Source organism: Homo sapiens, chromosome 14 (assembly GCF_000001405.40).
Source record: "Homo sapiens chromosome 14, GRCh38.p14 Primary Assembly".
Taxonomy (NCBI): domain Eukaryota; kingdom Metazoa; phylum Chordata; class Mammalia; order Primates; family Hominidae; genus Homo; species Homo sapiens.
The window spans coordinates 64,205,484-64,221,182 of record NC_000014.9 but is presented as its reverse complement, the minus strand read 5'-3'; the positions used below and the strand labels follow the sequence as shown (position 1 = coordinate 64,221,182).

The 15,699-nt window shown below is 46.5% G+C and overlaps 1 protein-coding gene across 33 annotated transcripts in view; it reads right to left on the bottom strand.

The window, feature by feature from the left end:
- The window catches only part of SYNE2 (spectrin repeat containing nuclear envelope protein 2), a 464,854-nt gene that overhangs the window by 5,267 nt on the left and 443,888 nt on the right, over positions 1 to 15,699 (bottom strand). For 14 of the 33 annotated variants that reach the window (XM_047431152.1, XM_011536576.3, XM_047431149.1 and 11 more), the window contains 11 exons: positions 12,238 to 12,425; positions 11,605 to 11,755; positions 11,059 to 11,241; positions 9,085 to 9,222; positions 8,178 to 8,372; positions 6,713 to 6,989; positions 5,829 to 5,897; positions 4,796 to 4,935; positions 2,629 to 2,785; positions 1,773 to 1,975; positions 546 to 746 (listed from right to left, as the gene is read on the bottom strand). In XM_047431152.1, coding sequence (XP_047287108.1) covers positions 546 to 746; positions 1,773 to 1,975; positions 2,629 to 2,785; positions 4,796 to 4,935; positions 5,829 to 5,897; positions 6,713 to 6,989; positions 8,178 to 8,372; positions 9,085 to 9,222; positions 11,059 to 11,241; positions 11,605 to 11,755; positions 12,238 to 12,425 — 1,902 coding nt within the window. Of the gene's footprint in view, positions 1 to 545; positions 747 to 1,772; positions 1,976 to 2,628; positions 2,786 to 4,795; positions 5,230 to 5,828; positions 5,898 to 6,712; positions 7,040 to 8,177; positions 8,373 to 9,084; positions 9,223 to 11,058; positions 11,242 to 11,604; positions 11,756 to 12,237; positions 12,426 to 15,699 lie in introns of those variants that run through there. The other 19 variants (XM_005267454.2, XM_005267456.2, XM_005267457.2 and 16 more) reach the window with 5 other exon arrangements.

The following is a 15,699-nucleotide window of genomic DNA, read 5'->3' as shown; positions in this document are numbered from 1 at the left end:
GCAGTGGTGCAGAGCTCACACCCGCTGTGCATTTACTGTGTCAGGTACTGGGCTAGGATTATACATACTGCCTCATTTACTCCTAAAAAGAACCTTTTTAAGGTTCTTTCTAAAAAGAAAATGGGAATGATTCCCATTTTCAGATGAGAACACTGAGGTCTAGGAGGTTCAATGCTTTGCTCAAAGTCACATGGCTATTAAGCAGTAACTGCTCCTCTGCTTCAAGGCCAGGTCTCTTAATCACTCTGGCAAAAGGACAAAAAGAGGAGTTGTGGGGTGGCATCTCTAACCTACAGGTCGCCTGCAGGAACCCTGACTCCAGGAGTGGCTCTGGGCCTGGGCAACAGAGACGAGACCTGGGACAGGGAGTAGGTCTCTGAGATGGCCGGTGAGCCTCTGTGGAAACAAATGGTAAAGCACATGTTTCCTGACACCAGCCACATTTGGCTGCACGGAAGCAGCCTGATGATGATAAAAATATCTGCTGCTCCTACCACGTGGGCCTGGGTACCGGCTCTGGGAGGCGGGCTGCTGAGTCAGCGTACCTGGCACTGCATGAGCGACTGTCGTAAGCCCCCTCTCCAGCTGTCCACTGCGCCCTGTGCTGCTTCCCAGAGCAGGCTCAGCTGGCGGAGTCTACTTTGGAGCTCTGTGGATTCGGGGCTCTCGGTTTGCAGAAATTCCTTGCTGCTCACGTTGACAGAGACCACTAATGCCTTGTAAGTGTCAAAGGCTTTCAGTATCTCCTACCAGAGAGAGAAAAGATGAGGTTAGGAGCTCTGAAAGTAGGGAGGAGGGGCTCATTTTGAACCTCAGTAGGGAACAAATTTTCCACACACTTTTCCAAGCTGCGGCCACAGAAATGAGAGTGACCTCGCCTGGGACTGGCTGGAAAGCATCAGGTGAGGGAGCTGCCTTAAGGTCTGTGAACTTGGCCAACAGGGCCCCAAAGTAGAGGCCTGCTGGAGGGAGGAGACCCTGCTGACCTCTACAGGCCCCGCTCTGCAACTGGCTTAATGTTTCTGGACCGACTAAAGGTCTTCCAGATAAAGTATATGTGGTTATTCTGCATTTGCTCCTAGAAATGCCAGAAATGTTATTCCTTAGGAGGAATGGTAACCCCTAATATATTAACACAGATAGTAAAATAAAAGTACAAATATGAAAGGTACCTGGATCCTCCAAAACCCCTGCCCTGGGTCTCAGGCTACTGCTCATGGCACCCTTAAAGCGCAGGGCTCAAACTGTCCCTTTGCAGCTCCCTGGGCTAGTTCCAGTGGGGTCAGGACTTATGTAAGTGACACATCCTAATTGCATAAAAGGGTAATGAGGTCAGGCCACGGGATTCATCAGTAGGTGAGCCGGTCCTTTCCCAAGCCCTTTCAAGGAAGATTCCACCACTAGTCTTTCGTGTAACTGTGCAGCATACAGTTTGGAAGAGTGGTTTTACACTGCCTGACAGTGTCCACTAGCACCTCCAGAAAAGTCTAGAAATGCCTCGGATGTCAGATTTTTCCATCTCTGGAGATCTGAGCCACACCTCCCCAGTACTCTGGGATCAGGATCATTTGCAGATACTCTTCCATGTGAAAACAAAAATCTGCATCTATGTCCTTGCCAACTATGGAACTGAAATGGAAGAGAGTGACCTCTACATACACCATCTGCAAGCTGCGCCTATGCCACGAATACATGGGATCTGCTCGTCCAGCATAGCAATGCGTTCACATGCACATTCTGAATCCCTCTTCCCCACCACACCTCTAACTCACCTGCAGTCTCTTCACTCTCAGTTCTATTTCCTGGATATCAGAGGGAGGCTTTGCCATCTTTAACATTTCCAGCTCTGCTTCAGTTTTTTTCAGCCAAGTAGTGATGGCGCTGATATCAGAGTTCAGCTGTTGCAAATTTTGTTTTATTTTGAGCTTATTGTGAAGCTCCTGTGCTTGAATCATCTCCCATCTGTCGAAGGCACCTGGAATTAAAAAATCGCCAATTAAAAAAAGCAATAATGCAACAGATTTCTCTGCCTCCAGCTAATTAGGGGTCAGGGTGGTTAAAAAAAAAAAAAAAAAAAACAAAAAAACTGTAGGGGATTCCCCTGACAGAAGGGTCTGGTTTTGGGAGTTCTCTCTTCTCCTGGAATGTGGAATAGCACATGATCTGAGGCGTACACTCCCACAGAGGCTGGAATGAAGTGGAAGGTCTATGTGCTACAGTTTCAAGCTCAACAGTTCAGTTCCTGCTGAATTTTTTCAGTTTTCTCCTTTGGTCCACAAATGACCAGGTCGATGCTGTCAGCTTTAGATTTAGTTGAGTAATTACTTTTATAATTACTGGGCTGGTCGAATGAAGAGACACTTGAGATAACACTGATCATCATCCTCAAGTCTGATCTTTACACACAAATATAGAAAGTGAAAACCTGCACTTCCTCAGGAGGCTTATTTTACCAACATTTAAAGAATAGTTTTCAAATTACACTGAACAGCCTAGGAATTTGTTCGTGAATGCCAATCGCTGATTTAAAAATAACATTGGTTGTTGTAGGGTAAGTCCCCCAGTTCTGGCGAATCGTATAGTTGGTTAATATCTAATGAATGTTCTCTTGAGCAAGGACTTAAATACCATACTCTGCCTCTCTGGACGACTGCCAGTTACAGGCAGTACCTGACTGCTGCTCTGTGATACCGGCCAGTCCCCCGTCTTCCTGCTGTGGGTTGCCATTCAGGACTCGCGGGCCTTCTTTGCCACCATCCGTGCCTGGAGGTAATAGTAGCTTTCCCTAGAATGAGCCAGTTTTTAAGTTACCATCTGTAGATATGAAGGATATCTGAAGAACAACTGGATTCATTTCATATTAACAGTGAAGAAATGAGATGGGCCCCTTTCCTTTGAAGGGTATCTTGCTAGGAATACAGTGGTGCTTTAGTGTCTAGGTAGCATTTATAAGCTGGCAAAGCTGATGGCAGAAATAAAGCCTCAGCTAAGGCCCAGGGAGAGGGAAGCAGATGAGATGTCAGTGATGGGAAGAAAAGGGTCTGTTTCAATTGGCATGCTTCCAAACACCCCTCAAATGATCCACACGAAACAAATCAGAACAATTTGTTGAGCTTACCAGACGGTTACTGCGTTAGCACTTTGAATTTTCATAGTGTTTTACAGAATTTTAGTTATCCCTGTCACTCTGTAGAGGTGGTTGGCATCATTATCACAGAATCAGAAATGCACAGAGGATGAATCTGCCTCCCAGGGGCATTCGTTACCAAGTGTTTATCTTTCACCGCACATACTGACTCTTCTGTTATCACACAGCCGATTGGGCTGTTATCTCGGGCCTCTCCAAAAATAAATGTGTCCCTTTTAGAAAAGCCCTGCTTTCTTTGTCTTTCTTCTGTCTGTATGGCCTATTTGTGCAGAATGAAAATAATAAAAAAAAAACCTTCAGATTTGTGGTGATACATCTGGCTTCAGACACAACAAAAGGGTTGAGATTTTGAAACCGGCCAGGTGAGGAACACAGGCGTCATCACAGGAAGGGATAGCCAAGCCACATGAGCCAAGGATGTAAAGCAGAGGTCAGGGACTGCGGTCTTTCCCCTGTCTTATTATTCTTTTTAAAAATGACACCTGCTTGTTAAGCAAGAGGAAGTGTTTCTGAATTGGACACAAACAGCCCATTATCAGCTGACTTGGATTTGAGCATGCAAAGGCAGAATCTCCTCCAATGATGTAACAATATTCTCTCCTTAATTTCTCTCGCTGCTGCCCTAGGCTGCCCTCCCAGGAGCTGCCTAGCCAGAGCATGCCAAGAACTCAAGGCAGCTGAGGGAAATGTAACTAAGAAGAAACAGCCATTGCTATAAACAACAAACCAATACAGGAATAATAATCACGACCAATACAGGAATAATAATCACGACCATTACTTCTGAGGACCTTCTTTTACCTTTATACACAATAATCTTAACAACTACTAGGTGAAATAGCTTTAGCCTCAGGTGAGAAAGGCTTACAGAAGCAAGGCGAAGTGCCTCAGGTACCATGGCAATGGATTGGCAGGGCTAGGAATCAAATCCGTGTCCACTGCAGCACACCATCAATGATTTTTTGGAATAGGATGTATGGACAAAAGGTTAACATAACAAAGGCTTGAAGGTTGGATGCAGTGGACCATGCCTGTAATCCCAGCGCTTTGGGAGGCTGAGGCAGGTGGATCACTTGAGGTCAGGAGTTCAAGACCAGCCTGGCCAACATGGTGAAACCCCCATCTCTACTAAAAATACAAAAATTAGCCAGGCATGGTGGTGCACACCTGTAATCGCAGCTACTTGGGAGGCTGAGGCAGGAAAATCACTTGAACCCAGGAGGCAGAGATTGCAGTAAGTCAAGATCGTGCCAGTGCACTCCAGCCTGGGTGACAGAATGAGACTCCGTCTCCACAACAACAACAAAAAGACAAAGGCTTGAGAGCTCAGGAGCAGTCAGGAAAGCCAGCACCTTGCTTGCTCACTATTTGCACAGACACCTGACTCGACAGTAATAATGACTGTTACACCACACCAACATACAGAAAGATGGTTTTTGGCCAGAACCTATCTCTAAGTCTAATCGGTTTTGCCGGGGTTCTAATGAAGTATGGACAGCTCAACAGAGACACTGTCACCATAAGAAAACCAACTCAAAATATGCCTGGGGAATGAATACACGCAGTTTACACCAAAATCTCTCTCTCTTGCAAATGTAAGTATGACTCACAGACATAGGCTGTACTCCCAGTGAAGTTAAGACTTACATAGGGTGGTTTATAAGGGGTGCTGGACGCAGGGGGAACAGGTGGAACATTCCTGTCACCTTCCATTTGCTTGTAGTGATGCTCGGGACAGGAAGGGCTGTCGGGAACATGCCACGAGTGGCCATCCGAAATGGATTTACCTGAAACGAAAGACAGCAAGCGACAGTCTATTCTCTCCTACTGAACGGGTCACGGGTGACATGGCATCAGGTTACAGTATGAAAATGAGTTCTGCAGCTTTCCTTGCAAAGCATGCATGTTTGCAAAATGTCAGTATGTCCCAGAAGAGAATGAGATGAGTCATGCAACTCAGCAACACTGTGCCTTCACTAGATGGGTACACAACGGAGCACGACCAACATGATTTGCTGTGGGATGAGTGGCGTTTTGGAGCCAGGGTCTCGAGTGGTAGGGACACTGAGTGGCAAGGCCGGGTCTGGGGACCAAGATGGCAGAAGGCCTCTCAGGAGTGAGGGGAAGAGTGAACATCAAGATGGACTTGGGAACCAAAAGGCTCCTCAGGGCTCTCCCCGACCCACCATGGCAGATAGGGATGGGGCTAAGGATGAGGATTAGAGCTGCAAATCAAGGAAAGGAAGGTTTTTTCCCTCCTGTGGCAAATCATCAGCACCCTTTACCGCCCCAACCCCCCACCCCTTTCCACCAGGGGATCCCAGTAAAGCAAGGAAACAGTTCCAAACCAAGCCACCATGAAGAAAGCTTGGCCCATGCCAAAGGACTTCAGTTAGATGGAGAAAAAAATCATCAAAACAGGCACCATGAAAAATTCCCTCTGCACAGGCCTGAAGGGAGGAGAGGGGGTTGGCATCGAGACGGCTCTGGCTTGGATGGGGTTTTGTAAGGAGCACGCAGTTATGGGTGAGTACGGCAGTGTAAATACACCATGACACAAGGACCAAGGCGCATGGTGTCCACAGAAGGCAGAGGTAGACACGACATGGGAGCGAGGTTGAGGATGCAGTGTGCGCCACAGGATGCTGCCATGTTGACACATGCATGGGCGGGGGCCTACCAGAAGACGCTTTCAAAGTTTTTGTGGTCATTTTAAGATATGCCTCAGGATTTTCAGGGATTTCTACATCTGAAAAAGAACAATGTCATTTGCCTCACTGGAGGTGCCTGAAGATTAATGCCCAAGTATTAACACACAGTAGAAACATTGTCAGCTGGAAGGAGAAAACTACCCTTTATTTTTTTAATTAAAAGGATTTTGAAAACCAGAAAGATTTTTTTTTCCAGCCAACTCCTGACTGTCCAAAGCAGGACACTGGGTATCAAAGGGAGAAGCTCAGTCTGCAGACACTCTGAGAAACTCAACTGAAAGGGAGGGTAGGCACAGTGGCTCATGTCTGCAATCTCAGTACTTTGGGAGGCTGAGGCGGGAGGACTTCTTGAGCCCAGGAGTTCAAGACCAGCTCTGGCAACATAGCAAGACCTTGTTTCTACAAAAAATTTAAAAACTAGCTGGGTGTGGTGGCGTGTACCTATAGTCCCAGCTACTCAGGAGGCTGAGGTGGAAGGATTGCTTGAGCCCTGGAGGTTGAGGCTGCAATGAGCCGTGGTCGCACCACTGCACCTCAGCCTGGGTGACAGTGTGAGACCCTGTATCAAAAAAAAATCACTGATGAGTCTCCCAGACAGCCAGAGCCATCACTGAGTAACCTTAGTGTCTGAATGTGAATTTCATTTTTTTTCCCCCTTTCATTCCACCTGTGATGAGAGTGAGCCAATTCTCAGGTAAGTTAAGAGATGGGCAGGATAGAGCACAGGAAACCACAGAAGTCAGGGTCGGCCACAAGATGGACTCTTGGTCATTGAGAGCTGGCCGTGTTGCTAAGGGGCTAAAAACATAGCCAAACGGGTCACTTTCCAGGGTGCTGGGAACCCAGCTGTTACCTGACAGTGCGCTGTAGTATGGGCCCTCCTCGTCCTCTTCGTGAGAGGAGGAGCCCCCCACGTCGCCTGTGTGGTCCCACTCCAGGGGGATGGAGTCCACGCTGACAGGGGTCTCGCAGCCAGACCGCTCGTGCCCTGGGGCCACTAGATGACACAGGGACTGAGGAGATGACGGTTCCTCGCTCTCTCCCCGTTTACGCCAAGAATCAGTCTGGATTTCTCTGGGGTCTTCCATGTCTGTTTCATTCTCAGAGGCCTCCTTTTCATCTTCCAAGCCCTAAACCACAGTATCCAGTTGTTAGAATTAATCAACTCATAGGCTTCTGCAATTAGAAGAGCATGAGAAGTCTGCCTATCTAGCAGTTTCCAAAAATAACTGCCAATAGTATTTCTAAGGCAGCTTTAAAAAGATCAGGTTCCCAGGTCCTGTTTCTGGTTATTCCAGTTTAGACAATCTGGAGTGGGGCCTAAAATCTGTTATTTTCCCAAACCTCCAGCTATTTTTTCTTAGGAAAAAAAAGCTGAAGTTTGATAATCTAAGTTAAACAACTTTATCTAGGAGATAAGGAAATGGTGGCCAAAGTTTCATTGATGGTTAATGGCAGGTTCCTCCAAGAATCAGACTATTTTTGAAAAGGACATTTGAATGTTCTGGGTAAGACTCAAACTTCAACCAGATGCACCAGGTTCTTTCTTTCTTATCCTCCAACTTAATTGCTCAGTGTCTGTATTCTGCTTGTGTCATAACGTCTCTTTCAGTCTAAGAAAAATGACTCTAAGTGGCTGTACTTAAAAATGAGAAATTGTGGGGTAATTTTTGAGGCTGTGTCTGATGAAATAACTACATTTGAATGTGGCCAGTTGGAGACACAAAAAAAGAAAGAGTGGCCAGTCGTATCGGTCAATGGTTGTCATTCAAGCTTCAGGCACACAAAGGCAGTACGCTTTGAACAGTGGCCTTAACTCCACCTGAACTTCCCAAAAGGGCCTTTCGTCTGGGGAAACATCAAAGTTGCTTTTGAAACTCTTGTGTTTTCTCTTCCAAGGTGAGAACAAAGCATCAGAAAGGCACAAATACTAAAAGCTTCCAGCCTCTAAGAAAGAGGGAAGGGCAAATACATTCCTAAGTTACTAATGTAATAAAAGCCAGAAGAGTTCTTCAAGAATTCTAGGGGTAGTGACGCATGCCAGACAAGCCCAGCCCTGAGGAATACTTAAAAGCGACTCGTGGAGCATGCGCCTCAGAAGTGCCATGCTTTCCACTGGGGAATGGGAACTTGTAAGTTACTGTGGCTCTATATTAATAAAAGTGGAAATTAAAATGTTTTGATATAGCCCTTTCTTTTCAACCAAAAAATAAACCATAATTAACCATTATAAGACAGGTCCCCTAATTCTTTAAAAATTTGGTCTCACGTAAACTCTGAGCAGCCCAGGTGCCATTTCTAGGCAGCAGTGCCCGTACCGGAGTGCAGGAGGTGAGCCGCCGGTGGAACCGGGAGACCCTTCCAAACACCTCCTGGCAGTAGCGGTGGAGTTCCTCCAGCTCATCCTCAATCAGCACAGCATCCAGGGGCTCGCTCTTCTGAATCAGCTGCTCCCCAAACACAATGAGCTGATCAATCTTGTTGGTATTTAATGTAATTTCCTGTTGGAAGCCCTGTTGAGAGAGGAGAAAGAAAGGATTTCAAAGAAAGTTACCCTGAGCTTCCACTGCCTGTTTCTTCTAACAGGGCCATAGAAAAGCATCCAAATGTCATTATTGTTGTTTTCCTTCACCTACTACTCTAGCTTTAGTTTTTAACTAAGTGACAATGACATTTTAAGAATTTTAAGTGATTGTCTATATTCCCCCTCACGGGCACTGGCTTTTCCAATTAAAATAATTCTAAAAGTTTGACACGGGTGGACATTTACTGTTATTAGGTGTGAGAGAAAGAACTTGCCATGGCAAAACTTGTTGGGAACAGAACATTTCCCATAATAAGCCACGAATGGGCATTTGCTTTTGCTGACACAATAATATTCACTGGTGCTGTTATACTAGGGAAGGCAAATTTCCATTTCTCAACCTCTTCCAAAATCTGGCCAAGGAGAGAATTACAGTGAGATTAGCCTGTCATACAGATATCAGAAACAATGGGAGAGCGGACCTCTGTTCTTGGCCCCACTGGTGACACCCATACTCCTGGACCGTAAAGAACAGTATCCTTGCACGTGATAATCTGGTAGTACACAGGTGGGATGTAGCCTGGCTGCTTTAAGAATTCTGAAATTTGCTCTCAGAGTATCGTGTGAAATTTGCACTTGGCCAGCTCTCCCACGCAAAGGTGTGTTCTTTTGAGAAGAGCTAGGGAAGCAGCAGCCCTCACATTCAGTTGGCGCATCTTGTCATCGGCGTCACTCTCTGAGAAGTGCTCCACGTTGGTCAGCTGCAGGTCCATCTCTGTGAGCCACACCAGAATGCTCTCCCTGGTGCCCTCAAATTCTTCCCTCTGGTTGGTGAAATGCTGCAAAAGTGGGGAGGAAATCACATTTCTACTGACCACGGAACAAGAGTTCAGACAGACAGCAAGGCCACCTTCGGCCACAAGAAAAGGGTACCCAGAATACTCAGGGAGAAATCTGCCTCTAGGGTACCCAGAAAGCCCCAGAAGCACTATGTTGTTCAGAGGCTGGGGTCTGGTTCTGGCTTTGTGAGACCAAACAAGCCCCCTCAACTTCTCTGAGCCCCAGCTTCTACGCTGGCAAGTCGGGGAGAGAGTGGGAATGTTGATTATGGTCTCTGAGGTCCTTAAGCATTTGAAATTCTAAAATTCTCTAGTCCAAATCAGTGATTTTCCTCTGTCCTTTGAAGAGCCCCCTGAGGGGCCAGGCCAGGCCTTCTGCCTGTTTTACACATTGGCCTTCTGCAGCTTTTGCTTGACGGAAGGATTTAGTAGCTTCAAGATGGAAAAGCCTTGATATCAGGATTGAGGCCAGCCTGGTGCCCCCTTCTGCCTTCACTGATAGAATTCTGAATGTGTCTTCCCAGAGAAAGAAGACTCAGAGCAGTTGTATCATCTCCAATTAAGGATGCCTCTCAGGTTACTGCTTCACAGATAGGCAGCTGATGTTCAGATCAGTATAGCTTCAGTGCCAAACGAAGGCAGATTAGCCACAGCCAGATCGGCAGGAGATAATTAATGCAAGAGGCCGGGCATGGTGGCTCACACCCACGATCCCAGCACTTTGGGAGGCCAAGGTGGAAGATTACTTGAGGCCAGGAGTTTGAGACCAGCCTGGGCAACATAGTGAGACCCCATTTCCACAAAAATTAAAATCAGCCAGGCACAGTGATGCACGCCGGTAATCCTAGTTACTCAGGAGGCTGAGGCAGGAGGATCCCTTGAGCCTAGGAGTTTGAGGCTGCAGTGAGCTATGATCTCACCACTGCACTCCAGCCTGGGCAACAGAGTGAGACCCTGTCAAGAAAGAAGAAAGAGAGAAGAGAGAGAAAGAAAGACGGAGAGACAGGAAAGGAGAGAGAGACAGGAAGGGAGAGAGAGACAGAAAGAAATGCAAGGGAGTTGTCTAGGTTACTAGAAAAGCCAATGTCTTCCTGAGAAGGAGGGAGGGGGAGAGAGAGAGAAAAGAAAGGAAGAAAAGAAAGAAAGCCCAGATTTACATCTTTCTAGAATGGGTTCAACCATGCTCTGCCCTGAGAACAGACGCAGAAATTAAAATTGTGTCCTGTAGTCCCTGCCTGTGACAGTCCTTTCAGTTTATAACTGGATTCACACAGGTTTACACAGCACATCTTCTGAATGACAGAAATCTAAGGTGAATATTTACCTTCAAAAACCAAACCTTTGTGTGCTCTGAAATTCAGAGAATAATCACAGTCCCCAACCCCCCAGTGCAGACAGGGGCTCTTGCATTCACGTGCCTTGTCCATCCTCCTCAGTGCGAGAGCTGGGGGGGGTCCCATAAAAACAGACAGATGGGCAAAGCGGGGCTCCTTCCAGGGGCCCACGTGTTGCCTTTTCCAGACCCAGCGAAGCGGCGCCCTGGACTCTGAGCTAACATGCACACCACCACGGGTTACAGAAGTTGTAAAAAGAGCTGTGCGTTGGTAACGCAAATCTCATCAACAGGCCCTGCCTAAGAAGCCCCACATGCAAATCCCCCTTTTAAAAAACGAACGTTGGCAGCTTTGGGCTTCTTTGTGTTGGAGGACTGTTAAAACAGCTCAGGCCTGAAGTGAAACCTTCTACCTGCTGCTTTGTGCCACAAGCCTGCCATTGCGTATCGTGCGTTATGTCTCCTGGAAAATCTACACCCGAGCCAGGTGCAGAGGAGCTCACCCTGAGTCTCCGCAGGACGGCTGTGACCCGCCTCTGAAGGTTGTCCCAGCGCTGGTTGCCCTCGTGGACCATCTGCTTCAGCCTGCTGGCCGTGTCTGTGCGGTTCTCCCGGGCCAGCCGCCGGTACTGCTTGTTGATGAGCTCCAGCTGAGTGAGCCGCTCATGAATCTGCCGCTGAAAGGCCTGCATCACATGGGAGGGGTCAGAGCCAAAGCATGCAGAGTGCCAGGACGCCCTCCTTCCCTTCTACATCCCAAGCGACCTGCTGCCAGGGGTTCATCCCCAAACTGCAATGGCAGCAGAGGGCCTAATTCACCAGTCCTGATGCCAGCTACAGAACAGGCTTTCAAGTTCATTACATAGCAGCTGGAGTACATCAGCAATGTCTTGCAAAGCTGTCTCAGCAGCTGGGGGCAGGCTGTGGTTTAGGCAGCCCTTGCCAGAGGTGAGGGGAAGCTGGCTACTTAGAGGAAGTCATTTCAGCAGCCCCCAGGCTCGCTGCAGGCTTGGTTATGATCAGGAGACCGGGATGGAGAAGGTGTTTACCTCAAACCTCTTCAGTTCCTCTTTGGCACTCGTGTACAACACCTCTGAGGAATTTGGGCAGGCTGCCGTCCTCTCAGCTGACTTGAGCCAGTCCTCAAAGCGAGAATAGTCGTCTAAAAACTTCTGCCACAGGCGCCACGTCTCCTCGATTCTGATGGGAGCAAAGCAACTTAACACAAGCCATCCCCTCCAAGCCTGTGCTTTTGCACTTCTTTTATCCCCTGACACCCGCACGGTTTAGTGGGGGAGACCCTGTTACCCCTTCTGGGAAATAAGAGGGACGCCACTTCTTGTCTGTGCTCCTCCTGCCTGGGAGCGCCAAGCAGCTCAGAGCTCCTGCTTCACAGAGGTTAAAAAACCAGGAGACAGGGCTGCCTCCACTACTGCCCAGCTAGGTCAACGGAAGCACAGCGGCCAGTCCACAGCCACACCCCACACAGGACAGCTGGGGAGAGACATTACTCCGGTTACATTTTTCTTGAATAAATCCTTTGATAAGCGTTGGGCCTTCTCTGCCAATACCTGGCGCATTTCTAAGTGAAATGAACAGAATAGTTACTGTGAATGAGGTCAGAAGGGTGTATTGAGTTCGGCTGACCACGCTGAAGGCATTTGGGGGAGCTTAGTTCTTACTTCATGCGCCGCTCCATGGACATGGCACAAATGTTCCTCCAGCGTCTGTCCAGGCTCCTGGTGGTCTGCTGGATCGAGTCACACTCGGTCTCATTTGCACAGGCATCGGAGTCGTGCAGTAGGACGTCACAGATGTTAAACACGGACTCCACCCCTGCGCTGTGTTGTTCAATATCTCGCTGTAGATCCTGTGATTACAACAGAGTAAGAAACCTCTTGAGATGTTGGTGGCAGCAGGAGGGTCAGCATCAAAGGACCTCCGTTCCTCCCTCCCTTCTCCCAGCTCAGGGGATACTTCCCTGGGTGGATTTCCACCATGAACTTGGCAGTACACATGGAATCCCTCTCATCTTTGTGCTACCCTTGTGCTGTCAGCACCTGACACAAAGTTTAAACACTGGAAACATCTAGGACTTATGCGCTGAACCATGTGAGGGGTGCCACGGTGATGGGTGTCCTCTACGCACTGACAGGTGGCGCCATTACTGTTGAGAGCCCATCGCCCCACAGACTTCGGGTATGCATGGGATCTACTCCATACCACCCAACCCCAAAGGGCTCCAGTTTAGACTTGGTTTCAGGGAGGTCTTTAGAAACTGAGTCTCTTCAGCAGGAACTCTCAATCTTTTATCAGCTACCGAACTCTTCAAACACACACCAAATTGTGCATGCAGCAGTGTGGATGCCCACAGCTTCCCCGTGAGCCCATTCAAGGGCTTCATGAGCCCAAGGGAGAAATTCTGGCAGACAGACCTTGCCTCCCCAACTGATAAAGTCCAGCCAAAGCTGTGGTGGCTTGGAGAGAGGTGGGGTCTCTGGAGTCTTGTCCTTTGATGATGATAGTGATGCAGTTCCCCAATTTGGGAAAAATAACATTTATGAAGAGAAAATGCATGGTCATAGGAAAAAACTGGAAAACCTCTTCACGAATAAACATGGCATTTTTAGTCATCATCAGATAATATTTCTGCTGTACCCCATGGGTGGGCTGCGGGGAGGGAGAGAGATAAGGAACCTGTTTTGCCATTCTGGAAGAGTTAGGCATCCCTGATGTCCAAATTGTGTGACAAGTGACATGAGACCACAGCATTAATTTTAATATCCAAATTACATTGTGAGAAAGCAAACACTAAGTTAAATTCTATTTTAATTATTTGATAATATACCAATTTCTAAAATCTACACTACTTTAACCACTATTAACTAGACTAAATCCAGTTCCCAGGACTCAACAAATTTCAGTTAATAAGAGGACTGTACTATAAATGGTAGCTGTCACCATCTACAGAAAGGCAATATAAGCTTCATTCCAGGTCACTTTCATATTTAAATAACTTGAGATTACTACTATATTACTAGATGGGACCACTATTTTCATACTCTCTTTTTTTTTTTTTTTGAGACAAGGGTTTCACTCTGTTATAGTGGTGCGATCTTGGCTCACGGAAACCTCTACCTCCGGGCTCAAGTGATCCTCCCACATCAGCCTCCCAAGCAGCTGGCCACCATACTCAGCTAATTTTTTGTATTTTTGGTAGAGATGGGGTTTTACCATGTTGTCCAGGCTGGCCTCAAACTTCTGAGCTCAAGTGATCCACCCTCCTTGGCCTCCCAAAGTGCTGGGATTACAGGGGTGAGCCACCACGCCCAGCCCCTATTCTCTTACTTTTCTTCATATAAATACACAATTCCGATCATTGAGTGTTTAGGTTGATATAAGAAAATAAAATGCTAACCCGCCAACTGAATTTTAAATCAGGCAGTTCCTAACACTGATCCCGAGTACAAATGAACACCACCAGGTTATATTCAGAAGAGATGTGTTTTCCACTTGGCCACCCTGTGTGCACTGTGAAGAATGTGCAGGGTGATTTCTTTAAAGCTCTGCAGTGTGGGTAGAATGCCTGATATGCTCGAATGGTGGGAGTCTCCCTGGAGTCAATTTGAGGACTAACTTTAAAGTTATTACATCTAAATAAAATTCCAGTTTTAAGAACTCTTACCGGTTCACAGAACTGTCATGGGCCCTTCTAAAATTAGAAGATACATATCCCATGTAAATACTAAAATAATAAATTAGGAACCCTAATACTGGTATTAAAATAAATAATACTAATCATTAATAACTGAAAAATGCCCATGACCTCATCTGGCTCCAGGTGGGTAAGGTCTAGTTGAAAAGCCGAGAGAAGTTCTAGTTTATGGACAATATGAATGCTCTGTATTTTAATAAACTCTGCAATTATCCTACATTATTTATTCAGCTTACATTGAATCAAATGGCTAAAGAAAACTGATTAATATTTAGGGTAAATGGCCGTAAGAAATGAACTCTACAATAATTTATAAAAGACCATCAACATCTTGGTTAAAAAAAAAAAAGCCCAAACATTTTCAAAACTTTTCAAAAAACATTTTCAAAAAATTTTTAAAAACCATGTAAAACACCACACAATGGCCTACTAGTTACCTTGTACAAAAAAAAAATAAATAAAGTGATAGACTACATTTTAAAATGCAGACCATTTAAGTGCTAGACAAGAACATTTTGCAAGCTGAAATAATCCTACCGCTAGTAACCACGGAGACCTAAGTCTGCACAAGAATCAGGTTTTAGAAACTGTCCAAACCTAGAGAAAAAGTGGATTTAAGAAACAACATAAAACAATGAGAAAGACTTTTGCCAACAGTTCTAACAGGCTCCTGTTCATTTCGTTTTTCTGCCCCTGGGCAGGTGACACATAACCCTGAGGTTGGGGAGGAACTTGGGGGCCAGGGGGTACAGAGCAAGAGGAGAAGGGGAGACATGAAACTGGAGAAGAGAATGCAGCCAGAAGAATGAGAATAAAAAGGAACCAAAAACAGAAGGTAAGGGTGGCTGAGGAGAAGAAAAACAGGCTGAAAAGACAGAAAATCATATAGCGTGAAGCCCCCAGTGCCAGCTCCTGAATGTGTCTGTGGGAGGGGCTTGGGTAGCAAGTGGGACAGGATGGTATTGGGATGGTTCAGGGGGTTTGAGGTGAAGCTCAACTGGCCCACGGCAGGGGCTATTAATTAGCCAGTGGAAGGGTAACTAACAACAACTCCAAGCCACCATCTGGCACCCCACAGAGAAACAAGCAACCAACCAATGAACAAACTAGGACAGGGATCTTAAAGATTCAATGAAAGTGGTTCGTGATTTAAGTGTCACAAAATTGCCACTACTTCCTGTGCATTTTAAAGATGATATATTCCGTAGGAATAACCCCCATTACCTTATACTTAAAGGTGTTCTATATAAGAAAGGTGAAACAGAAAGGACTCCTATAGGGTCTGACCCCTCCCCAACCAGGTATATTACAGTGAGGATCCGGGGACATCATGGCTCTTAGCTACTTTTGGGGGCTGAGGGCTTTTGCAGAAGGCAATACTAGGTGATGCCATGTTTTTAGGTCTTATTTTTGGAAGCAATTAATTTAT